General features: G+C 38.9%; 1 protein-coding gene across 22 annotated transcripts in view, besides 2 other annotated features; it reads left to right on the top strand.

Moving 5' to 3' along the window:
- GRIP1 (glutamate receptor interacting protein 1) overlaps positions 1–27,433 on the top strand; it is a 721,908-nt gene that overhangs the window by 569,079 nt on the left and 125,396 nt on the right. The gene's annotated exons all lie outside the window — the stretch shown is intronic.
- Positions 1,547–2,394: an enhancer, noted in NCBI's record as "OCT4-NANOG-H3K27ac hESC enhancer chr12:66891646-66892493 (GRCh37/hg19 assembly coordinates)". NCBI's record gives its function as "activates a minimal SCP1, AML or CMV promoter by ChIP-STARR-seq in naive H9 embryonic stem cells {active_cell/tissue: H9 hESC(naive)}" and the evidence as "EXISTENCE:reporter gene assay evidence [ECO:0000049][PMID:30033119]".
- Positions 2,395–3,243: an enhancer, noted in NCBI's record as "OCT4-NANOG-H3K27ac hESC enhancer chr12:66890797-66891645 (GRCh37/hg19 assembly coordinates)". NCBI's record gives its function as "activates a minimal SCP1, AML or CMV promoter by ChIP-STARR-seq in naive and primed H9 embryonic stem cells {active_cell/tissue: H9 hESC(naive and primed)}" and the evidence as "EXISTENCE:reporter gene assay evidence [ECO:0000049][PMID:30033119]".

Here is a 27,433-nt window from a genome sequence, read left to right as displayed (position 1 = left end):
ACTTACTGGATGTGTGACCGTTCTAAGTCTGTACAATGGGGATTGGTCATAGCAGCTCCTTCCTATGGTTATTGTGATGATCAAAGTTGTTAATACCTTTAAAGCACTTGACACATTTTTGGCACATATAGAAAATTTTGAAATCTGCTTTTATTGTTGTTTTATTATTGTTGTTGTTATGAGATTAATTTTCTTACTCTGCTATTACAGCCTTTCAAAATTGTTCCTGTTTCTTGGGGTTTTTTGTTTGTTTTTTGAGATAAGATCTTGGCTCTGTCGCCCAGGCTGTTGTGAGGTGGTAGGTTCACAGCAGCCCTGACCCCCTGGGCTCAAGCTATCCTCCCACCTCAGCCTCCTGAGTAGCTGGGACTACAGGCGTGCACAACCATGCCTGGATAATTTTGTATTTTTATTTTTTTGTAGAGACAGGGTCTCCCTGTGTTGCCCAGGCTGATCTTGAACTCCTGGGCTCAAGTGATCTTCTCGCCTTGACCTCCCAAAAGTGCTGGTATTACAGGCATGAGCCATTGTACCCAGCCTGTTCTTAGAGTTATCCTGGTAAACCCAGCTAAAGGAAATACCTCTATTCTAATAACTCCCATACCATCTTATCTTTTTTTAGATGCTTCCTATAGTCTCTGCCCCATTCAGTGTAGTACTATAGTTATCTGTGTGTGTGACTGTCTCTCCTCCTAAGCATTATAAACTCCTTGACAACAGAAGCTATTTCTACCCATATTGTATCCTCTGTTGTGCCCTGTACATAAAAGATATTATTTGTTTATTGGTTGATGAAGCAAATAAATGAACAAATAAATGAAGAGTATTTGATTTTGAGCCTTTCTCCCAAATGTAATAATATCCAAAATAATTTCTTATATTTAGAGTACTTTTGGTTTAATATGCACTTTTATAATCTTCATCATATTTTATCCTCATGATAACCTATTTAAGGTAAGCAGGCTACCTCTTGTTTTTTGAGAAAAAGACTGAAAGGGCTGTGATGACATGGGAGTCTGTCACTTTTTGATGAATGGAAGAATCCACATGACTTCCACAGTGATAGGTCAGTTCACACAAGGCTAGTGAATTCATTTGCAACTTAAGAGGACAATAAATCCCATTTTCTAAACAAAAGATACAGAGCATAATAGGCTTCATGGTCACCATACACTTAATGTTGAAGGCTACATTTCCAAAATATTATGTAAGAACTTTGTAGTTGACATTTGGATGTCCTAGGGATCTTTTTGCTCCTTCTCAGTGATCATGAGACTGACCTTAAATAATACCTTTCCCCCAATGCACTATTCTCTTTACAGTACTGTTTTTCACAGAGCTCCTGTGGTCACAGGCTATAAATATTTATAATCTTCTCCTCCTTGTAGTACAAAGACTATTTCACTCCAAGGCCTCTTATCACTTATCAATGGTATAGGTTCAAGACTAAATAAAAAATGTTAGAGTTGTAATTATCATTTTTATATTCTTCATGACGTAGGAAAAGAGGGTAATTTGGCTGGTTTTAAAGATAAGAAATCTCAAATACATTTTTTTTTTGCCTGTATGACAGTTTATAAGTGTCAAAGTCAAAACTGAGTCTTTTCTCTAACATAATACATTGCCATTATAGTAATAGTAATTTTTATTTACTAAGTTCCTATGATGTTCAAGGTATTTTATAAACATTATTACATTGCATTTTTACCTTAAGAGATAGACTTAAGAATCCCTATTTGAGAAATCAGAGGAAATAAAATAACTTGCCCAGGTAGAAAATAAGAGAGCCAGAATTCAAACTGTTATGCCTGATTTCAGAACCCTTGCTTAACAGCAATTTAACCAGAGCAGCTTTAACACAACGTTTATATGATAATTCTTAAAATTAACTGTTTAGTACTTCTCCCCTTAGCCTGTTCCTCTCCCATCTTCCCCATCTCAGGCATGAGTGCCTCCACTTGAGCAATTCTCAAGCCAAAAGCCTGGACCATCTTTTATTTGTCCCACTCCACTGACACCCAAGCCTTACACTTTCATGCGCGTCTGTGTGAAGAGACCACCAAACAGGCTTTGTGTGAGCAACATGGCTGTTTATTTCACCTGGGTGCAGGCGGGCTGAGTCCGAAAAGGGAGTCAGCGAAGGGAGATAAGGGTGGGGCAGTTTTATAGGATTTGGGTAGGTAAATGAAAATTACAGTCAAAGAGGGTTTGTTCTCTGGCGGGCAGGAGTGGGGGTCGCAAGGTGCCCAGTGGGGGTGCTTTTTGAGCCAGGATGAGCCAGGAAAAGGACTTTCACAAGGTAATGTCATCAGTTAAGGCAAGGACCGGCCATTTACACTTCTTTTGTGGTGGAATGTCATCAGTTAAGGTAGGGCAGGGCATATTCACTTCTTTTGTGATTCTTCAGTTACTTCAGGCCATCTGGGCGTATACGTGCAAGTCACAGGGGATGCGATGGCTTGGCTTGGGCTCAGAGGCCTGACGTACACAGTTCCCTGACTCTCTCCAGTCAGCCTGCTCCTCTCCATTTTTGCTGTCCACACACTTGTCCGTGCCTCTCACTCACAGATGCTGCCATCTCTCTCCCAAGGAACTGTAGTCACCTCCCAGCTCGTGTCTACCTCTGCTCTTCACATCACTTCCATTCAATGCCATTCCACTAAATCTGTGCCTTGCCTCCAAATCCTACATGCCCTTTACCCAGAATTGCCACCCCTATCTCAGTGTTCAACTTTCCCAGTTGCTCTCTTCCCTTTGATTCCCAATGCTCTTGTTTTAAGCTCCTCCCCAATGCCGGGTTCATGTCCTCAGGGACTTTCCAAGTTCTGTTCCCTCTGCCTAAGAAGTGATTCTCCAATCCCTCCACACATTCTTTACCAGCTATTTTGCAATGTTCTTTAAAGACTCAGCCTAAATGTCTGTTACTCAGACAAAACAAACTTCCATAACATCCTATCTAGATTAGGTCTCCCTGTTTTACTCCCCCAGGGAGCCCTTACTTTTCCTTCATAGTAATTATCACAATTATAATGGTAATTTGTTGGTAAGCTAAGCTGTTGGTCTCTTTCATTAGACAATAAGTACCAGAAGGGCAGGGACGGGGAAACAGGGACATTATGTATGCATTTTTGCCACTACATGCATAGTGTGTACCTGACACACCAAAAAAGTGTTAAATACTTGTTATCTGAATGAAATGCAGACAGCTTAAAAGCAGTGTTTCATCTAAATTGAGAGTGCACATTTACTCTTCCCTGAAGAACTCCAAAGGTAGTAGTAAAAGATGCAGTAACAGCTTAAGTAAGCAATTTGTATTCTTATTCATCCTCTCTTTCCTTCCTTTTTTCTTTTGTTCCTTCTCCTTTCCTCTCTTCCTCTCCTATCCTCTCTCTTTCTTTTCTTTTCCCTTCTCTTCCCTCCCCTTATTGCCCTTCTTTCCCTTTTCTTCCCTTTCCTTACAGAAGCATTTCCTCCAGCTGCAGATAAAAGCATCAGGATGCCTGAATCTCAGAGCACCACGTGGAAGGGTTTCAGGCCATTCATTGGCCCATACCAAGAGATGACTTCCTACCCAAATTTTCATTAGCAATTTCTAGTGATTCAGGAGCACTATAGCTCCAGAGTCTAACAGTAAATATTAGTCTGGAGATTCAGACTTTGAAGGGCTGTAAGAGACATCCCCCAGAGAAGGTACAGTAGTACACAGTGACAAATCATTTCTCTCCAGTTCTTTGAATATTGGGAAGCACTGGGGTCAGTCTACAAAGTGGCCTGTATGACCTTGTGTTCAGCCCTCCTATTTTAGATAACGCTTGTTGGAGCAAAATAGCAAATATGAGTCTACATGGTAGAAGTCCCTAGTTATATAGCTTTTGAAAGGTGCCCCGCTGTGGTAACTTGGCTCATCGAAAGCTGGGTGTTCTGTGGGTCTTTTAAGGAATGTAAATCTTGGTATCCATATTCGTGGTCCAGCTCCTGCCATATCCCCTATCTTCCACAGAGCCTGAACCTTGCAGGTACTGGTAAAAGGAGATGCTCTTAGACACGTTCAGGTGTGGCTTCAGATAAACATCATATATTTGAACAAGCTAAGTATCGAGACTACATTTCCAGCTCACTGGAGACTTTCCTTCTGGCACATTTAAGCTTGTGGCCCTCAAGAGGTTAGAAAAAGAAAGGTACTGAGCCACACACACTCTTTCAGAGAGTGGAAAGGAGTGGTTATCATTAACTCACAAGAATTGGTTCAAGTACTGAAGTCATATTTCAGCTGCACTCATATGAAATCCCGCCGGCCTTCTCCTGGCGCGCTTCGGTTCATCACCATTGCTCACCTGCCGCCGAGGACTCCTTTGCTTTCACTGCACCACATCTGAAATGTTTCGCGCTGCCGGGAACGGCTTTGTGTAACTCTGGGACCTCTGACTTCTCAGAAGGGATTTCCTTAACTCCAGTGCATCTGTTGAGTTCCTTAAAAGTCGATTTCGTGCTGAGTGGTACATTCGCCTTGTGGAATCTGCTTCCCTTACATTTAACTCTCCAAACAAAATTAGAGCAGGAGCTTGGCAGCCTTTCCCGCAGAATTCTCACACTTGGGAGGGCACGGGGGTGGGGGGCTCACGTAAATTTTAGTTTGGTCAGTCACGCTGAAGGTACTATTTGGCAGGAATATTAACTATGCCACCTGTGGGAAAAAAAAGTTTCATTTTTGTAATTTGTACAGTCTACATGCTCCACATGTAGATTTTTTTAATATCTTGCCCAAGATATGAATTCATTAGTTATAGATTATAAAACTCAATCCATAACAGTGTAGATAATCTAAAATTGCAGATAGGGTAATATTGAAATAATTCACAACACTCAAAGCTAATTAAGTGGAACGGCACATGCAAATCTAACTGATGATACACTAGAAAGCTGTCTGGCTCCCTCCTGCTCGCCCTTCTCTTTCTCTCATAACTTTCTTTTAGGAACAACTTCACTGCATCGTAATAGAAGCAACATTAACTTAAAAGTTCTGGGGACATATGAATAGGTAATTTAATTTTTTGGCTTAAGAGCCTTTTCTCTAGCTTTCTCTGGCCAAGTAAAGAAAGTAATTTTTCACATCAACTGGAAAACTAATTAAGCATCATAGATGGCATCCTTATTTATTCCCTGGGATTAACCCAGGAAGAAGTAGAGAAGAAAACTAACATTAATTTATGCAGTTTGTATCGACAAGCATCGTACAAGGTACCTTACACATTGTATTAACTCTAATAGTTATAGCAACCCTAGGACACATACATTATAATTCTTTTTATTTCTTCTTTTTTGAGATGCTCTGTCTTAAAAGAGCTTCTCTCTTTTTTGCTTTCTTTGTTTCTGAGATGCTTCTTTCCTTCCTGCTCTGTCACCCTGGCTGGAGTGCAGTGGTGCAATCATAGCTCATTGCAGCCTCAAACTCTTGGGCTCAAGCGATCCTCCTACTTCAGCCTCCCAAGTAGCTGGGAACACAGGCATGTGCCACCATACCTCACTACCTTTTTTTTTTAATTTGTTTTTTTAGAGACAGACTCTCACTTTGTTACCCAGGCTGGTCTCAAACTCCTGGCTTCAAGCAACCCTCCCACCTCAGCCTCCCAAAGTGCTGGGATTATAGGCATGAGCCACTGTGCCTGGCCTAATATCCTTATTTTTAACAGATGAAGTAACTGTGTCTTGAAGAAATTAATTTATTCAAATTCACACAGACCATGTAGTGTTAAACCTAGGATTAAACCCAGATGAACCTCACAAATCTGACATTATACTCACAGAAGATTGAAAGAAACTATAGCAGATGTATGAAACAATGTTTTAAGTATAGGTAAAAGTTTTGAAGGCAGAACAAATATTGGAATGTGACTTTATATATTCTAAATGTAAGATTTTTGAATTCAAAGTTTAAGACTCAGTTAATATTCTTACAAAAATAAAAGTCTTAACAGAGTGTTTAAAAATAAAAGTAGAATCTTATTATTTAAAATATAATAGTTTTAGGTTTAAGTACATTTAAGTACATTATTGAGCCTTACCCAAAGGAAAATCCCAGAACATCAAATATTTAATGTTAAGCACCTAAGAGAGTTCTGAGTAAGAAGGAAGAAAGTGAGACAATGAATTAATTATCTACTCTTGTTTAATCATTCAGGTATTTTTATTGATTCAAGTTATGGTAAAGCTACTCAGCCTAAGGGAGTGAGGCATACTTTTCCTGGAATCCTCCTGCCTCTTTTTTTACATATACCCAGAGGCATCTTTACAGATTCCTGGGCACTACACCTGCAGCCCAGATTTTTCATAATGAAGTGTTAGAATCCAGCTTTCCTCAGGAGAGAGGAGAGGAATAAGCAGCCCAGGAAAAGGAACACAGGTTTACTCCCAATTTAGAGTCTGTGTTCACTTCTTAACATAATAAAGGTATCATGAGTGATCCTGCAGTGCCATCATTAAAATCAAGTTTCCATAATGAAAGTTTGAAAATGAAACAATCTGTTAACTCTTGCCCTTTAGCTAAGTCTCTCACCTTCCTTAATTCTATGGACATGGGCAGAATGTGCTCTGCATGTAATTGGATTCCATAGATCAAGTTATCCACAGAACTATTTGGCTCTTTCTTTAGGAAAGTTTTCTACCTTGGTCTTTTACAGTATTTCAGGAGTTCCCTCAATTTCTGTTAGTGGTAGTATATGTTCCAGTGGCATAAAGTGCTATTTATCACTTTCAAATACCCTTGCTGTCTAAAACCTAGTCAAAAAAACAGATGTCTATAGAAGACCTATCTCACTGCACAGTTGAAAATACGAGTTTCAAAACATGCTCCTGAAGGCATATACAGTTCCATGGACATGGTGATCTGCAAAGTTGTTAACACACAATAATTGAATATTAGCATCATTTACTTGGACCACTCTACAATGCTAGGAGGCCTTCAGGATCTCCTTACCAAACTCAATTTGAACCCCCTAATAAAAGAAAACTCACTGCTGAGCAATGCTACAGTCTAAAGCAATAGTTCCCAACTCTTACCAAACATCAGAATCACCTACAGAGCATTTAAAATGCCCAGGCCCATCCCAGAGGGGTTTTGTGAGCAAGAAAATGGCATGATGTATGTGTAAGCACTTTGTAAACTCACTATAAAAATGTAAGGCATATTAAACAGTAATTTGAAAGTATTCACCCACCATTCTAGCCCACCTAATTTTTTGTTTGTTTGTTTGTTTTGAGACAGAGTCTCTGTCACCCAGGCTGGAGTGCAGTGGCATGGTCTTGGTTCACTGCAACCTCCGCCTTCCGAGTTCAAGCGATTCTCCTGCCTCACCCTCCTGAGTAGCTAGGATTACAGATGCCTGCCACCATACCTGGCTAATTTTTGTATTTTTAGTAGAGATGGGATTTCACCATGTTGGCCAGGCTGGTCTTGAACTCCTGACCTCAAGTGATCCACTCGCGTTGGCCTCCCAAAGTGCTGGGATTACAGGTGTAAGCCACCATGCCTGGCCTAGCCAGTCTAAATTCCTTGATTCTGACATCCAACTTATTTGCTGTCCCTTCTAGCTAGGTCAAATTCTAGCTATATCAAATTCTTCTAATTGGAAATTGGAAATTTTATTTATTTTATGATTAATAAATGCACATTTATTGGGGACTCACTGAATTCAAGATCCTGGACTGTGTGCTTATTACTTCTACACAGCGGTCATGCTGGTCTCAGCTGGTGCCTCTCAGTGCCTTGGCTCTCTTGATTCCCTGGTCAGGCTTCCCGGTTGACAGGACATTGGTTATTTTCATACATAATCATCAAATTGTTGTTCTTTTTATTAAAAAAAATCTAGTCCCATCTTTAGACTGGTACTTTAGTAGTATTTGGTTTTTAATTTTATGTTTACCTCCTATAAAAACCAAGGAGGTCGGTCAGAAATGTAGATGCTTTAAATATTTCAAAGTATATTTTTGGCAACTTCCAAGTAAATTGGCTTTTAGGAAATCTGAGTGGTTGGTATTCATTTGTCTCGTTTCACATCTGGTTCTGAAAGAACTAGGATACTTTTTTTTTTTTTTAACTGAAACATGAAGCCAACTGTAGCACAAGATGCCAGAGCATTTGCATGTTGCTGTTGAGCCATTAACTCTTCCTGACTGACTGTTCCTTCCCAGTCTTGGAAAGTTAAGAATATGAGTAGTAGGAATTCTTTCTCAGGCTGGCACACACTGGCTGCTACTTAAACAGTTTCTCTGCCTCAGCAGAGCCTGATGGAGATTCATTCCATTTTTCCTGTGAATCACTTATCCAGCCCCGACTATTTTTAGATTGAGGAGGAATCCGACTTTCTGTAGAATGATGATAGGGAATGTGATGATTGTGCAGCCACCATGTGTAATATACTAAATCATTTTAACAGGTAGGGCAAATAATTTTTTGCCTTGGTGGCAAGTATTTTCATCTTTCCATTGGTAATTGTCACTTTAAATGCTGGATCGGTTTTGCTATTTACACTTTTTAAAGTAAATGAGGAAGATAAACTTTGAGTTTCCTGAAAGATTGGTCCTCAAAGAATTATGCCCCCTTTTTTCTTTGTTTTTGCTCTTATTTTTTTCTTCAACTCTTAAGTTCAGGGGTGCATGTGTAGGATGTGCAGATTTGTTACATAGGTAAATGTGTGCCATGGTGGTTTGCTACACAGATCAACCCATCACCTAGGTATTAAGCCCAGCATCTATAAGCTATTCTTTCTGATGCTCTCCCTTTCCCCCAAGCCCCACCACTCTGACAGGCCCCAGTGTGTGTTGTTCCTCCTCATGTGTCCATGTGTAATCATCATTCAGTTCCCACTTATAAATGAGGACATGCAGTATTTGGTATTCTGTTCCTGTGTTGTTGTGCTGAGGATAATGGCTTCCAACTCCAACCATGTCCCTGCAAAGAACATGATCTGGTATTTTATATGGCTGCATAGTATTCTGTGGTATATGTGTACCACATTTTCTTTATCCAGTCTATCATTGATGAGCATTTGGGTTGATTCCGTATCTCTGCTATTGTGAATAGTGCTGCAATGAACATACACATACATGTATTTTAAAATAGAATAATTCATATTCCTTTGGGTATACATGTACACAGTAATGGGATTGCTGGGTCAAATGGTAATTCTGCCTCTAGGTCTTTGAGGAATTGCCACACTGTCTTCCACAATGGTTGAACTAATTTACACCCCCACCAACAGTGTAAAAGCATTCCTTTTTCTTCGCAACCTTGCCAACATCTGTTGTTTCTTGACTTTTTAATAATCGCCATTCTGACTGGTGTGAGATGGTATCTCATTGTTGTTTTGATTTGCATTTCTCTAATGATCAGTGATGTGGAGCTTTTTTTCATATGTTTGTTGTGTGCATGAATGTCTTCTTTTAGAAATGTCTGTTCATGTCCTTTGCCCACTTTTTAATGGGATTGTTTTTTTCTTATAAATTTGTTTTAGTTCCTTGTAGATTTTGGATATTAGACCTTTGTCAGATGTATAAATTGCAAAAATTCTCTCCCATTTTGTAGGTTGTCTTTTCACTCTGATGATAGCTTCTTTTGCTATGCAGAAGCTCTTTAGTTTAATTAGATCTCATTTGTCAATTTTTGCTTTTAGTATTTTCATCATGAAATCTTTGCCCATGCCTATGTCCTGAATGGTATTGCCTAGATGTTCTCCTAGGGTTTTTATAGTTTTGGGTTTAACATTTAAGTCTTTAACCCATCTTAAGTTAATTTTTGTATAAGGTGTAAGGAAGGAGTCCAGTTTCAATTTTCTGCCTATGGCTAGCCAGTTCTCCAAGCACCACTTATTAAATAAGGAATCCTTTCCCCATTGCTTGTTTTTGTAAGGTTTGTTGAAAATCAGTTGGTTGTAGGTGTGTGGTCTTATTTCTAAGTTCTCTACTATGTTTCATTGGTCTATGTGTCTGTTTTTGTACCAGTACCATGTTGTTTTGGTTACTGTAACCTTGTAGTATAGTTTGAACTTGGGTGGTATGATGCCTCCAGCTTTGTTCTTTTAGCTTAGGATTGTTTTGGCAATACAGGCTCTTTTTTGGTTCCATACAGATTAAAAAATTTCTTTTCTAATTCTGTGAAGGATGTCGATGGTAGTTTAATGGGAATAACATTGAATCTATACTGTACTGTGGGCAGTATGGCCATTTTCACAATATTGATTCTTCCTATCCATGGACATGGAATGTTTTTTCATTTGTTTATGTCCTCTCTGATTTCCTTGTATGGTGGTTTGTAATGCTCCTTAAAGAGATCCTTCACTTCCCTTATTAGCTGTATTCCTAGGTATTTTATTTTCTTTGTAGCAATTGTGAATGGGAGTTCATTTATGATTTGGCTCTCTACTTGCCAAATCAGAGAGATTTGTTGTTGGTGTTAGGAATGTTAGTAATTTTTGCACATTGGTTTTGTATCCTGAGACTTTGCTGAAGTTGCTTGTCAGGCTTAAGAAGCTTTTGGGCTGAGATGATGGAGTATTCTCAATGCAGCATCATATCATCTGCAAACAAAGATAATTTGACTTCTCCCTTCCTATTTGAATACCCTTTATTTCTTTCTATTGCCTGATTGCCCTGGCCAGAACTTCCAATACTATGTTGAATAGGAGTGGTAAGAGAGGGCATCCTTGTCTTGTGCCAGTTTTTAAGGTGAATGCTTCCAGCTTTTGCCCATTCAGTATGATATTGGCCATGGGTTTGTCATATATGGCTCTTATTATTTTGATGTATATTCTTTCAATACCTAGTTTATTGAGAATTTTTAGCATGAAGAGATGTTGAAGGCCTTTTCTGTATCTGTTGAGATAATTATGTGGTTTTTGTCTTTAGTGCTGCTTATGCGATGAATCACATTTATTGATTTTCATATGTTAAACCAACCTTGCATCTCAGGGATGAAGCCAACTTGATCATGGTGGATAAGCCTTTTGGTGTGCTGCTGGATTTGGTTTGCCATTACTTATTTTATTGAGGATTTTTGCATTGATGTTCATCAAGGATATTGGCCTGAAATTTTCTTTTCTTGTTGTATCCCTGCCGGGTTTTGGCACCAGAATGATGCTGGTCTCATAGAATGAGTTAGGAAGGAGCCCCTCCTTTTCAATTTGTTTGAATACTTTCAGTAAAAATGGTACCAGCTCTTCTTTGTACCTCTGGTGGAATTCAGCTGTGAATCTGTCTGGTCCTGGATATTTTTTGGTTGGTAGGCTATTTATTACGGACTAAATTTCAGAACTTGTTATTGGTCTATTCAGGGAATTAATTTCTTCCTGGTTCAGTCTTAGTAGGGTGTATGCATCCAGGAATTTATACATTTCTTCTAGATTTTCTAGTTTGTGTGCATAGAGGTGTTTATAGTATTCTCTGATAGTTATTTGTATTTCTGTGGGGGTCAGTGGTGATATCACCCTTATCATTTCTGATTGTGTTTACTTGATTCTTCTCTCTTTTCTTCTTTATTAATCTAGCTAGTGGTCTATTTTATTAATTTTTTCAAAAAAGCAGCTCCTAGATTCGTTGATTTTTTGAAGGGATTTTCACATCTCTATCTCCTTCAGTTCAGCTCTGATCTTGGTTATTTCTTGTCCTCTGCTAGCTTTTGAGTTTGTTTGTTCTTGGTTCTCTAGTTCTTTAGTTGTGATGTTAGGTTGTTAACTTGAGATCTTGCTAGGTTTTAGATGTGGGTATTTAGTACTATAAACTTTCTTCTTAACATTACTTTAGCTGCATCCCAAAAATTCTGGTATATTGTCTCTTTGTTCTCACCAGTTTCAAAGAACTCTTTTATTTCTGCCTCAATTTCATTATATACCCAAGGGTCACTCAGGAGCAGGTTGTTAAATTTTCAAGTAGTTGTGTGATTTTGAGTTAATATCTTAATATGAGTTCTAATTTGATTGTGCTGTGGTCTGAGAGACTGTTATGATTTCAGTTATTTTCCATTTGCTGAGAAGTGTTTTACTTCCAATTATGTAATCAATTTTAGAGTAAGTATTGTGTGGCAATGAGAAGAATGTATATTCTGTTGTTTTTGTGTGAAGAGTTCTGTAGATATCTATCAGGTCCACTTGATCCAGAGCTGAGTTCAAGTCCTGAATATCTTCACTAATTTTCTATCTCAATGATCTGTCCAATATTGCCTGTCGGGTGTTAAAATCTCCCACTATTACTGTGTGGGAGTCTAAGTCTCTCTGTAGATTTCTAAGAACTTGCTTTATGAATCTGGGTGCTCTTGTATTAGGTGCGTATATATTTAAGATAGTTAGCTCTTCTTGTTGGATTGAACCCTTTACCATTATGTAATCCCATTGTCTTTTTTATCTTTGTTGGTTTAAAGTCTGTTTTGTCAAAAGCTAGGATTGCAAACCCTGCTTTTTTCTGTTTTCTATTTGCTTGGTAACTTTTCCTCCATCCCTTTATTTTCAGTCTACGTGTGTCTTTGCACATGAGATGGGTCTCTTGAACAGAGCATACCAATGGGTTTTGGCTCTTTATTCAGCTTGCCATTCTGTGTCTTTTAATTGGGGCATTATCCTGTTTACATTTAAAGTTTGTATTCTTATGTGTTAATTTGATCCTGTCATCATGATGCTAGCTGGTTATTTTGCAGACTTGTTTATGTGGTTGCTTCATAGTATCACTGGTCTGTGTATTTCAGTGTGTTTTTGTAGTGGCTGGTAATAGTTTCTCCTTTCCATATTTAGTGCTTCCATATTTAGGAGCTCTTGCAAAGCAGGCTTGAGGTGGTGATGAATTCCCTCAGCATTTGCTTGTCTGAAAAAGACCTTATTTCTCCTTTGCTTATGAAGCCTAGTTTGGCCAGATATGAAATTCTGGGTTGGAAATTATTTTCTTTAAGAATGTTAAATATTGGCCCCCAATCTCTTCTGGCTTGTAGGGTTTCCACTGAGAGTTTCAGTTAGTCTGATGGGCGTTTCTTTGTAGATGACCTGTATGCCCCTTTTTAAAAAATCTTCACATTAGTACTGACAATGGAAGTAAAGGCTTCCAGAGCTTGTGCAATGAGGGCCATGATGGTATGTACAAAGTGTGCCCCCAGTTACTATGTCTGAGCTCAGAAAGACCTTTAAGAAATTTTGTGCCAGGCATAGTGACTCACATCTGTAATCCCAGCACTTTGGGAGGCTGAGTTGGGAGGATCACTTGAGGTCTGGAGTTTGAGACCAGCCTGGGCAACATGGTAAAACCCTGTTTCTATTAAAAAATTAAAAATTCGTTGGGTGCAGTGGCACACACCTGTGGTACCAGCTACTCGGTAGGCTGAGGTGGGAAGATCACTTGAGCCCAGGAGTTCGAGGCTGCAGTGAGCTATGATCATACCACTGCACTATAGCCTGGGTGACAGAGTGAGACCCTCACTCAAAAAAAAAAAAAAAATTGAGACCTGCTTTTTCTTATTGTCTGCTGAATTAGTTTGTTTTCACACTGCTGATGAAGACACACCCAAGACTGGGCAATTTACAAAAGAAAGAGGTTTAACTGGACTTACAGTTCCATGTAGCTGGGGAAGCCTTACAATCATGGTGGAAGGCAAGAAGGAGCAAGTCCCATCTTAAGTGGATGGCAACAGGCAAAGAGAGAATGAGGAAGACACAAAAGCGGAAACCCCTGATAAAACCCTCAGATCTCATGAGACTTATTCATTACCATGAGAATAGTACGGGGGAAACTGCCCCCATGATTCAATTATCTCCCACCAGGTTCCTCCCACAACATGTGGGAATTATGGAAGTACAATTCAAGATGAGATTTGGGTGGGGACACAGAGCCAAACCATATCACCTGCCTTAAAAATTTAAAAATTCTTTGGCTACATGGGACACCATTGAGACCCTAGAAATTTAAGTTGGAAGACTTTTATTAGTATTCTACAGAGTATTTTTAAATATATATATATATATAAACCATGTCAGTCTATCAAATTTAATACTGAAATCTGTCACATAAATTCTAACATGATTATTTCATATATTATTATTCCCTTGGCAAGGGCCTAAACTCTCTCACTTATTTAGTTACTGAGCTTTACTTTTTGCTGAATTAAATACACAGTAAAACCACACTAAAAGGGGTCAAGAAAGTCAGGGCAGTCTTAAAGAACAATAAAGAACTGGAGAGAACCCATACTGCTAGATATTAAGATCTATTAAAAAGCTGAAGTAATTAAGACAATATGGTACTGACACACGAAGAAAAGACAAACAGAACAGAGTGTCCAGAAAACACACACACATATATACATATGTATATATTCATAAATACATGAGTGGTACATATGAATATATATATTAATCTGTCTGTGTACATATATTCACCTGATTTGTGACACAGGTGACATTGTAATGCAATGAGAAAAAAAGTAGCCCTTTCAAAAAATGATAATGGATCAATTATATCCATGTGGAGAAAATATATCTTGACTCTACCGGGCACAACACATAGGAATCAATTTCAGAGGATTACTGATATAAATATAAAATTAAACAATGAAACCTGTAAAAAAAAGCATATGAGAGCATCACGATGACTTTATAGTAAGCAAAGATTTCTTAAACATAACATATAAAGTATAACCATAATATAAATAATGTAGAACTTCTCTTTATCAAAAAACACCTTTAAGCATTGAAATGGTAAGTCATAGAGGGAGGAAAGTATATTTGCAAATCACATATCCAACAATGACTCATACTAGAATATATATTTTGAAATTATTTTTTAGTTTTTAAAACTATTTTAATTATTTTTTAAATTATATATATATATTTAATTTTCACAAAGCAATAAGCCAGACAACTAATAAAAAATCAGGGAAAATACCTGATCAGACACGTCACAAAAGAGAATATTCAAATGGCCAATAACTGTATGAAAAATTGCTCTACTACGTTAGTCATCAGGGAAATGCAAATTGAAAACACAGTGTGATACCACTACACACTCAACTGAATGGCTACAGTGGAAAAGACTGACCACAACAAGAGGTGGTAAACATATAGAGCAACTGGAATTCTCATTCCCTTCTGGTGGGACAGCAAATTCATAAAACTCTTTAGAAAACCTCTTTGACAGTATCTGCTGAAGCTGAGCATACGCATACCCTGTGACCCAACAATTCCAAACCTAGTTATGGTTCCTACAGAAATGCATACCCATTCTCACCAAAGACAACTAGAATGTTCATAGCAGCAATATTTTTTACTGATAATAATAGTACATAGTTATAGGGTACACGTGATATTTTGATACCTACATAGAGTGTATAATGATCAACTCAGAGTAATAGGGATATCTATCCATCACCTCAAACATTTATAATTTCTTTGAGTTGAGAACATTCCAAATCTTCTCTTCTGGCTCTTTTGAAATAGACAATAAAGTGTTGGTAACTATAGTCACCCTATTGTGCTATCAAACACTAGAACTTATTCCCTCCATCTAAATGTGTTTTATACCCACTAAGCAACCTCTTTTCACACCCCCGCCCCTTCTCCTTTCCAACCTCTGGTAACCACCATTCTACTCTCTACCTCCACGAGATCAACTTTTTTAGCTCCCACATATAAATGAGAACATCCAGTATTTGTCTTTCTGTGCGTGGCATACTTCACTTAACATAGTGTCATCCAGACCCATCCATGTTGCTACAAATGACAGGATTTCATTCTTTTTCATGGTTGAATAATATTCCATTGTGTACATTTTCTTTATCCATTCACCTATCATCAATAGACACTTAGGTTGATTTCACATCTTGGCCATTGTGCAGAGCATAGCAGAAATATTTGTAATAGCCAAAACCCAGAAAAACTTAGGTAGAATGGATGAATTATAGCATGGGTCACCTCATGAAATACAATATAGCAATTATAATAAATTACCCCTAACAATATGCATGACTCTTACAATCCTAATATTGTGCAAAAGAAGCCAAAGAAGAGTATAAATAGTATTTCTAAAAAGGAAAACAGTAAGCAAAGCTAACTTATCCTGTTAGAAGTTAGGATAATGGGCCGGGCGCAGTGGCTCACGCCTGTAATCCTAGCACTTTGGGAGGCCGAGGCGGGCGGATCACGAGGTCAGGAGATCGAGACCATCCCGGCTAAAACGGTGAAACCCCGTCTCTACTAAAAATACAAAAAATTAGCCGGGCGTAGTGGCGGGCGCCTGTAGTCCCAGCTACTTGGGAGGCTGAGGCAGGAGAATGGCGTGAACCCGGGAGGCGGAGCTTGCAGTGAGCCGAGATCCCGCCACTGCACTCCAGCCTGGGCGACAGAGCGAGACTCCGTCTCAAAAAAAAAAAAAGAAGTTAGGATAATGGTTACTTTTTGGATGGTGAGCAATGTAAAGGAGTAGGGGGATTATTTGATGCTGGTAATGTTCTATTTCTGGGTCTTGGTGTGGTTACACAGATATATTCAGTTTATGAAAATGTATCAAATTGTAAACTTGTGATTTATGCATTCTCTGCATGTTGATATACTTCCATAAAAAGTTTTTAAAATACTATTACCTAATAAGCAGGGTACCAAAAAAATCTGTCATGTAAAATAAGGGGTCAAGTTATTCCAAAATTAATGCAATTACCAGGGTGAGCCTGCTGCAGAGAGTGGGAGTCAATAATTAAACATGCTTTATCCAAACTCAAGTTAGCATGGGAAGTATTATCGAGTTTCACTTGCTTTGTACTCTTCTTGCAATACAATAAATATTCATGCTGTGTCTCCTTTAACTCCCTGGGGAAAAGTTAGGATTTAAGACGAAGCTTATTTGAACATTGGAAGGTGCACTTTTAGGTGAGTCTTTCCCAAGCACTTTATTTCAATAGAAAAAAAATAAATCAGCAATTTAAAAAATATTTAAAAAAATGTATTGGGGTTTGGTTTATCTGAAAAGGGTTGAAATTATTAATAGCATTATATGAATAGGTACTATTAATAAAAATACTGTTAACTAACGAGCAAGTTGAAAGGCTCCCAAAAGGTACTTTCTTATCTAAAGGAATGTAAGGCAGGCAAAGTTGATATTACCATGCACAGCCTTTCCACTACCCCCGGGAGGTTCTAATCAAGCCTTGCACTGTGATTGCAATGCAGGACTCAGAAGTGGGAAAACTGATTAACAAAATAAAAATCCAGAGTGTTTCCCATGCAAACAGTCATCAGCGTATCTTCTGTAATTATGTAGCCCATAAATCAACCCAGCATGCATGGGCTTCACTCATGGTGTAAATATCTTAATGACTGAGATGTCTTTAACCATGAATAATTTATATCTGTATCATCCATTTTTCTCAACCATGCTTCATTTCAGCAGGATAAACTAATCTTCTGTCTAGGGATGGGCTCTTGATTATTTCTTCCTGATTTTTCCTCTATTTTTCTCATTTTGACACACTCCAATTTTTCTCTTGCACTTTCTTAAATAAGAGTGCCCCATTTATCCAGCCTGTCTCCCTGCCTTTATTTTCCTATGCATCTTATTAGACATCTTGGAATAAAGCCAGGGCTTTTGGAATCCTACTTTTCATAAATCCCTCTGTGAATGGAATTGGGTGGCAGCTAGGGAAACAGGCTTAATACCACAAGGCAGTATGAGCTGCTTTGATGTTGTTGTGGGGAAACATTTATTATGGAAAACAATTGCCAGAAAAGGCTAATGATCAATTAAACATTAACATTCGTAGATTCCCTTCTGTGATGCAGAAAGTGACTGCCACATGGATAATGCTGGAAAACAGTAGTTGCTAAAATAGTTTTGTTGTTCTCCTAGAGCTCATTAAAATAAAGTCAAATGAGAAACATTCCAATCAAATTCTATCTCATCTAATAAGCTCATCCCAGCCATGTCAGCTCATCAGGCTCAGCATCCTCAGATGCCTAGAAGTCTCACTGACACTGCCATTCCCTTGACAGTTATTGTTGTAGTTATTTGGTAACAATAATTGCTTTCTATAGCCCTTATGGACAGGGAGCATCAGGCACCTTCTGTGGATCTTTTGACATGCTTGAGTAATTTTTCTGGAAACCTGGAAATCATATCATATTAGATAACTCAATATTTATTATTCTTATTATACTTTAAGTTCTGGGATACATGTGCAGAACATACAGGTTTGTTACATAGGTATACACATGCCATGGTGGTCTGCTGCACCCATCAACCTGTCTTCTACATTAGGTACTTCTCCTAATGCTATCCCTCCCCTAGCCTCCCACCCCCCGACAGGCCCAGATGTGTGATGTTCCCCTCCCTGTGTCCATGTGTTCTCATTGTTCAATTCCCACTTATGAGTGAGAACGTGCGGTGTTTGGTTTCCTGTTCCTGTGTTAGTTTGATGAGAATGAAGATTTCCAGCTTCATCCATGTCCCTGCAAAGGACATGAACTCATCCTTTTTTATGACTGCATAGTATTCCATGGTATATATGCGCCACATTTTCTTTATCCAGTCTATCATTGATGGGCATTTGGGTTGGTTCCAAGTCTTTGCTATTGTGAACAGTGCTGCAAGAAACATACGTGTACATATGTCTCTATAGTAGAATGATTTATAATCCTTTGGGTATATACCCAGTAATGGGATTGCTGGGTCAAATGATATTTTTGGTTCAAGATCCTTGAGGAATTGCCACACTGACTTCCACAATGGTTGAACTAATTTACACTTCCACCAACAGTGTAAAAGCATCTCTGTTTCTCCACATCCTCTCCAGCATCTGTTGTTTCCTAACTTTTTAATGATCACCATTCTAACTGGCATGAGATGGTATCTCATTGTGGATTTGATTTGCATTTCTCTAATGACCAGTGATGATGAGCTTTTTTTCAGATGTTTGTTGGCCACATAAATGTCTTCTTTTGAGAAGTGTCTGTTCATATCCTTTGCCCACTTTTTGATGGGGTTGCTTTTTTTTTCTTGTGAATTTGTTTTTTTTTTTTTGTAGATTCTAGATATTAGCCCTTTGTCAGATGGATTGATTGCAAAAATTTTCTCCCATTCTGTAGGTTGCCTCTTCACTCTGATGATAGTTTCTTTTGCTGCACAGAAGCTCTTTAGTTTAATTAGATCCCATTTGTTAGTTTTGGCTTTTGTTGCCATTGCATCCCATTTGTTAATTTTGGCTTTTGTTGCCATTGCTTTTGGTATTTTAGTCATGAAGTCTTTGCCTATGCCTCTGTCCTGAATAATATTGCCTAGGTTTTCTTCTAGAGTTTTGATAATTTTAGGTCTTACATTTAAGTCTTCAATCCATCTTGAGTTAATTTTTGTATAGGTGTAAGAAAGGGGTCCAGTTTCAGTTTTCTGTGTATGGCTAGCCAGTTTTCCCAATACTGTTTATTAAATAGGGAATACTTTCCCCATTGCTTGTTTTTGTCAGGTTTTTCAAAGATCAGATGGTTGTAGATGTGTGGTATTATTTCTGAGGCCTCTGTTCTGTTCCATTGGTCTATATCTCTGTTTTGATACCAGTACCATGCTGTTTTGGTTACTGTAGCCTTGTAGTATAGTTTGAAGTCAGATAGCATGATGCCTCCAGCTTTGTTCTTTTTGCTTAGGATTGTCTTGGCTATATGGGCTCTTTTTTGTTTCCATATGAAATTTAAACTAGTTTTTTTTAATTCTGTGAAGAAAGTCAGTGGTAGCTTGATGAGGATAGCACTGAACCTATAAATAACTTTAGGTAGTATGGCCATTTTCACAATATTGATTCTTCCTATCCATGAGAATGGAATGTTTTTCCATTTGTTTTTGTACTCTCTTATTTTCTTGAGCAGTGGTTTGTAGTTCTCCTTGAAGAGGTCCTTCTCATCCCTTGTAAGTTGTATTCCTATGTATTTTATTCACTTTGTAGCAGTTGTGAATGAGAGTTCACTCATGATTTGGCTTTCTATTATTGGTGTATAGGAATGCTTGTTATTTTTGCACATTGATTTTGTATCCTAAGACTTTGCTGAAGTTGCTTATCACCTTAAAAAGATTTGGGGCTGACATGATGAGGTTTTCTAAATATACAATGATGTCATCTGCAAACAGACACAATTTGACTTCCTCTCTTCCTACTTGAATACCCGTTATTTCTTTCTCTTCCTGATTGCCCTGGCCAGAACTTCCAATACTATGTTGAATAGGAGTGGTGAGAGAGGGCATCCTTGTCTTGTGCTGGTTTTCAAAGAGAATGCTTCCAATTTTTGCCCATTCAGTATAATATTGGCTGTGGGTTTGTCATAAATAGCTCTTATTATTTTGAGATACGTTCCATCAATACCTAGTTTATTGAGAGTTTTTAGCATGAAGGGGTGTTGAATTTTATTGAAGGCCTTTTCTACATCTATTGAGATAATCATGTGGTTTTTGTCATTGGTTCTGTTTATGTGATGGATTACATTTATTGATTTGCATATGCTGAACCAGCCTTGCATTCCAGGGATGAAGCCTACTTGATCATTGTGGATAAGCTTTTGATGTGCTGCTGTATTAAGTTTGTCAGAGTTTTATTGAGGATTTTCATATTGATGTTCATCAGGGATACTGGACTGAAATTTTCTTTTTTTGTTGTGTCTCTGCCAGGCTTTGGTATCAGGATGATGCTGGCCTCATAAAATGAGTTAGGGAGGAGTCCCTCTTTTCCTACTGTTTGGAATAGTTTCAGAAGGAATGGTACCAGCTCCTCTTTGTACCTGTAATAGAATTCGGCTGTGAATCTGTCCAGTCCTGGGCTTTTTTTTGGTTGGTAGACTATTAATTACTGCCTCAATTTCAGAACTTGTTATTGGCCTATTCAGGGACTCAACTTCTTCCTGGTTTAGTCTTGGGAGGGTATATATGTCCAGGAATTTATCCATTTCTTCTAGATTTTCTAGTTTATTTGTATAGAGGTATTTATAGTATTCTCTGATGGTATTTTGTATTTCTGTGGGATCAGTGGTGATATCCCCTTTATCATTTTTTATTGTGTCTATTTGATTCTTTTCTCTTTTCTTCCTTATTAGTCTGGCTAGTGGTCTATCTATTTTGTTAATCTTTACAAAAAACCAGCTCCTGGATTCATTGATTTTTTTTTCTGTTTTATCTCTCACATTTTAGGGCTACAGTTTCTTTCTCTTTTTTTTCTTTTTCTTTTTTTAATATATATTTTTTATTATACTTTAGGTTCTAGGGTACATGTGCACAACGTGCAGGTTTGTTACATATGTATATTTGTGCCATGTTGGTGTGCTGCACCCATTAACTCGTCATTTACACTAGGTATATTTCCTAATGCTATCCCTCCCCCATTGCTGCACCCCATAACAGGCACCAGGGTGTGATGTTCCCCTTCCTGTGTCCAAGTGTTCTCATTGTTCAGTTCCCACCTATGAGTGAGAACATGCAGTGTTTGGTTTTTTGTCCTTGTGATAGTTTGCTGAGAATGATGGTTTCCAGCTTCATCCATGTCCCTACAAAGGACATGAACTCATCTTTTTTTTATGGCTGCATAGTATTCCATGGTGTATATGTGCCACATTTTCTTAATCCAGTCTATCATTGTTGGACATTTGGGTTGGTTCCAAGTCTTTGCTATTGTGAGTACTGCCGCAATAAACATACGTGTGCATGTGTCTTTACAGCAGCATGATTTATAATCCTTTGGGTATATATCCAGTAATGGGATGGCTGGGTCAAATGGTATTTCTAGTTCGAGATCCCTGAGGAATCGCCACACTGTCTTCCACAATGGTTGAACTAGTTTACAGTCCCACCAACAGTGTAAAAGTGTTCCTATTTCTCCACATCCTCTCCAGCACCTGTTGTTTCCTGACTTTTTAATGATTGCCATTCTAACTTGTGTGAGATGATATCTCATTGTGGTTTTGAATTGCATTTCTCTGATGGCCAGTGATGATGAGCATTTTTTCATGTGTCTGTTGGCTGCATAAATGTCTTCTTTTGAGAAGTGTCTGTTCATATCCTTAGCCCACTTTTTGATGGGGTTGTTTGTCTTTTTCTTGTAAATTTGTTTGAGTTCTTTGTAGATTAGGATATTAGCCCTTTGTCAGATGGGTAGATTGCAAAAATTTTCTCCTATTCTGTAGGTTGCCTTTTCACTCTGACGGTAGTTTCTTTTGCTGCACAGAAGCTCTTTAGTTAAATTAGATCCCATTTGTCAATTTTGGCTTTTGTTGCCATTGCTTTTGGTGTTTTAGACATGAAGTCCTTGCCCATCCCTATGTCTTGAATGGTATTGCCTAGGTTTTCTTCTAGGGTTTTTATGGTTTTAGGTCTAACATTTAAGTCTTTAATCCATCTTGAATTAATTTTTGTATAAGGTGTAAGGAAGGGATCCAGTTTCAGCTTTCTACCTATGGCTAGCCAGTTTCCCAGCACCATTTGTTAAATAGGGAATCCTTTCCCCATTTCTTGTTTTAGTCAGGTTTGTCAAAGATCAGATGGTTGTAGATGTGTGGTATTATTTCTGAGGGCTCTATTCTGTTCCATTAGCCTATATCTCTGTTTTGGTACCAGTACCATGCTGTTTTGGTTACTGTAACCTTGTAGTATAGTTTGAAGTCAGATAGCGTGATGCCTCCAGCTTTGTTCTTTTGGCTTAGGATTGACTTGGCAATGCAGGCTCTTTTTTGGTTCCATATGAACTTTAAACTAGTTTTTTCCAATTCTGTGAAGAAAGTCATTGGTAGCTTGATGGGGATGGCATTGAATCTATAAATTACCTGGGGCAGTATGGCCATTTTCACGGTATTGATTCTTCCTATCTATGAGCATGGAATGTTCTTCCATTTGTTTGTATCCTCTTTTATTTCATTGAGCAGTGGTTTGTAGTTCTCCTTGAAGAGGTCCTTCATATCCCTTGTAAGTTGGATTCCTAGGTATTTTATTCTCTTTGAAGCAATTGTGAATGGGAGTTCACTCATGATTTGGCTCTCTGTTTGTCTGTTATTGGTGTAGAGGAATGCTTGTGATTTTTGCACATTGATTTTGTATCCTGAGACTTTGCTGAAGTTGCTTATCAGCTTAAGGAGATTTTGGGCTGAGACGATGGGGTTTTCTAAATATACAATCATGTCATCTGCAAACAGGGACAATTTGACTTCCTCTTTTCCTAATTGAATACCCTTTATTTATTTCTCCTGTCTGATTGCCCTGGCTAGAACTTCCAACACTATGTTGAATAGGAGTGGTGAGAGAGGGCATCCCTGTCTTGTGCCGGTTTTCAAAGGGAATGCTTCCAGTTTTTGCCCATTCAGTATGATATTGGCTGTGGGTTTATCATAAATAGTTCTTATTATTTTTAGATACGTCCCATCAATACCTAATTTGTTGAGAGTTTTTAGCATGAAGGGCTGTTGAATATTGTCAAAGGCCTTTTCTGCAGCTATTGAGATAATCATGTAGTTTTTGTCTTTGGTTCTGTTTATATGCTGGATTACGTTTATTGATTTGCGTATGTTGAACCAGGCTTGCATCCCAGGGATGAAGCCCACTTGATCATGGTGGATAAGCCTTTTGATGTGCTGCTGGCTTCAGTTTGCCAGTATTTTATTGAGGATTTTGGCATCGATGTTCATCAGGGATATTGGTCTAAAATTCTCTTTTTTTGTTGTGTCTCTGTCAGGCTTTGGTATCAGGATGATGCTAACCTCATAAAGTGAGCATAAAATGAGTTAGGGAGGATTCCCTCTTTTTCTATTGATTAGAATAGTTTCAGAAGGAATGGTACCAGCTCCTCCTTGTACCTCTGGTAGAATTCGGCTGTGAATCCATCTGATCCTGGACTCTTTTTGGTTGGTAAGCTATTAATTATTGCTTCAATTTCAGAGCCTGTTATTGGTCTGTTAAGAGATTCAACTTCTTCCTGGTTTAGTCTTGGGAGGGTGTATGTGTCCAGGAATTTATGGATTTCTTCTAGATTTTCTAGTTTATTTGCATAGAGGTGTTTATAGTATTCTCTGATGGTACTTTGTATTTCTGTGGGATCGGTGGTGATATCCCCTTTATCATTTTTTATTGCATCTATTTGATTCTTCCCTCTTTTCTTTATTAGTCTTGCTAGCAGTCTATCAGTTTTGTTGATCTTTTCAAAAAACCAGATCCTGGATTCATTGATTTTTTGAAGGGTTTTTTGTGTCTCTATCCCCTTCAGTTCTCCTCTGATCTTAGTTATTTCTTGCCTTCTGCTAGCTTTTGAATGTGTTTGCTCTTGCTTCTCTAGTTCTTTTAATTGTGATCTTTTTTAGATCACATTTTAGCGTGTCATTTTAGATCACATTTAGGGTATCAATTTTAGATCTTTCCTGCTTTCTCTTGTGGGCATTTAGTGTTATAAATTTCCCTCTACACACTGCTTTAAATGCATCCCAGAGATTCTGGTATGTTGTGTCTTTGTTCTCATTGGTTTCAAAGAACATCTTTATTTTTGCCTTCATTTCATTATGTACCCAGTAGTCATTCAGGAGCAAGTTGTTCAGTTTCCATGTAGTTGAGTGGTTTTGAGTGAGTTTCTTAATCCTGAGTTCTATTTTGATTGCACTGTGGTCTGAGAGACAGTTTGTTATAATTTCTGTCCTTTTACATTTGCTGAGGAGTGCTTTACTTCCAACTATGTGGTGAATTTTGGAATAGGTGCAGTGTGGTGCTGAGAAGAATGTATATTCTGTTGATTTGGGTGGGGAGTTCTGTAGATGTCTGTTAGGTCTGCTTGGTGCAGAGCTGAATTCAATTCCTGGATATCCTTGTTAACTTTCTGTCTCATTGATCTGTCTAATGTTGACAGTGCGGTGTTAAAGTCTCCCACTATTATTGTGTGGGAGTCTAAGTCTCTTTGTAGGTCTCTAAGGACTTGCTGTATGAATCTAGGTGCTCCTGTATTGGGTGCATATATATTTAGGATAGTTAGCTCTTCTTGTTGAATTTATCCCTTTACCATTATGTAATGGCCTTCTTTGTCTCCTTTGATCTTTGTTAGTTTAAAGTCTGTTTTATCAGAGACTAGGATTGCAACCCCTGCCTTTTTTTGTTTTCCATTTGCTTGGTAGATCTTCCTCCATCCCTTTATTTTGATCCTATGTGTGTCTCTGCACATGAGATGGGTTTCCTGAATACAGCACACTGATGGGTCTTGACTCTTTATCCAATTTGCCAGTCTGTGTCTTTTAATTGGAGCATTTAGCCCATTTACATTTAAGGTTAATATTGTTATGTGTGAATTTGGTCCTGTCATTATGATGTTAGCTGGTCATTTTGCTTGTTAGTTGATGCAATTTCTTCCTAGCATCGATAGTCTTTACAATTTGGCATGTTTTTGCAGTGGCTGGGACCGGTTGTTCCTTTCCATGTTTAGTGATTCCTTCAGGAGCTCTTGTAGGGCAGGCCTGGTGGTGACAAAGTCTCTCAGCATTTGCTTGTCTGTAAAGTATTTTATTTCTCCTTCACTTATGAAGCTTAGTTTGACTGGATATGAAATTCTGGGTTGAAAATTCTTTTCTTTAAGAATGTTGAATATTGGCCCCCACTCTCTTCTGGCTTGTAGAGCTTCTGCCAAGAGATCAGCTGTTAATCTGATGGGCTTCCCTTTGTGGGTAACCCGACCTTTCTCTCTGGCTGCCCTTAACATTTTTTCCTTCATTTCAACTCTGGTGAATCTGACAATTATGTGTCTTGGAGTTGCTCTTCTCAAGGGGTATCTTTGGGGCATTCTCTGTGTTTCCTGAATTTGAATGTTGGCCTGCCTTGCTAGGTTGGGTAAGTTCTACTGGATAATATCCTGAAGAGTGTTTTCCAGCTCAGTTCCATTCTCTCTGTCACTTTCAGGTACACCAATCAAATGTAGGTTTGGTCTTTTCACATAGTCCCATATTTCTTGGAGGCTTTGTTTGTTCCTTATTATTTTTCCTCTAATCTTGTCTTCACACTTTATTTCATTAAGCTGATCTTCAATCTCTGATATCCTTTCTTCTGCTTGATCAGTTTGGCTATTGATACTTCCGTATGCTTCACAAAGTTCTCAAGCTGTTTTTCAGCTGCAACAGGTCATTTATGTTCTTCTCTAAACTGGTTATTCTAGTTAGTAATTCATCTAACCTTTTTTCAAGGTTCTTAGCTTCCTTGCATTGGGTTAGAACATGCTCCTTTAGCTCAGAGGAGTTTGTTATTACCCATCTTCTGAAGCCTACTTCTGTCAGTTCATCAAACTCATTCTCTGTACAGTTTTGTTCCCTTGCTGGCGAGGAGCTGTGATCCTCTGGAGGAGAAGAGACATTCCGGTTTTTGAATTTTTAGGCTTTTTGCACTGGTTTTTCTTCATCTTCATGGATTTATCTACCTTTGGTCTTTGATGTTGGTGACCTTCGGTTGGAGTTTCTTTGTGGACGTCCTTTCATTGATGTTGATGCTATTCCTTTCTGTTTGTTAGTTTTCCTTCTAACAGCCAGGCCCCTCTGCTGCAGGTCTGCTAGAGTTTGCTGGATGTCCACTGCAGACCCTCTTTGCCTGGATATCACCAGTGGAAGCTGTGGGACAGCAAAGATTGCTGCCTGTTCCTTCCTTTGGAAGCTTCGTCCCAGAGGGGCACCCACCCGATGCCAGCTGGAGCTCTCCTGTAAGAGGTGTCTGTCGACCCCTGCTGGGAGTTGTCTCCCAGTCAGGAAGCACTGTCCCCTCAAGGGACCCATTTGAGGAGGCAGTCTGTCCCTTAGCAGAGCTGAAGCACTGTGCTGGGAGATCTGCTGCTCTCTTCAGAGCCAGCAGGCAGGAACATTTAAGTCTGCTGAAACTGCACCCATAGCTGCCCCTTCCCCCAGGTGCTCTGTCCTAGGGAGATGGGAGTTTTATCTCTAAGCTCCTGACTGGGGCTGGTGCCTTTCTTTCAGAGATGCCCTGCCCAGAGAGGAGGAATCTAGAGAGGCAGTCTGGCCACAGCAGCTTTGCCGAGCTGCAGTGGCCTCTGCCCAGTTCAAACCTCCCAGTGGCTTTGTTTACACTGTGAGGGGAAAACTGCCTACTCAAGCCCCAGTATTGAGGGACGCCCCTCCCCCCACCAAACTTCAGCATCCCAAGTCGACTCTAGACTGCTATGCTGGCAGTGAGAATTTCAAGCCAGTGGATCTTAGCTTGCTGGGCTCCATGGGGCTGGGGTCTGCTGAGCTAGACCACTTGGCTCCCTGGTTCCTGCCTCCTTTCCAGGGGAGTGAATGGTTCTCTCTCACTGGCATTCCAGGCACCACTGGGGTATGAAAAAAAAACTTCTGTAGCTAGCTCAGTGTCTGTCCAAGTGGCCGCCCAGTTTTGTGCTTGAAACCCAGGGCCATGGTGGCCTAGGCACCAGAGAGCATCTCCTTGTCTGCAG

The sequence above is a fragment of the Homo sapiens genome, chromosome 12 (genome assembly GCF_000001405.40).
Source record: "Homo sapiens chromosome 12, GRCh38.p14 Primary Assembly".
NCBI lineage: Eukaryota > Metazoa > Chordata > Mammalia > Primates > Hominidae > Homo > Homo sapiens.
This window is presented reverse-complemented; position numbering and strand designations above follow the sequence as displayed.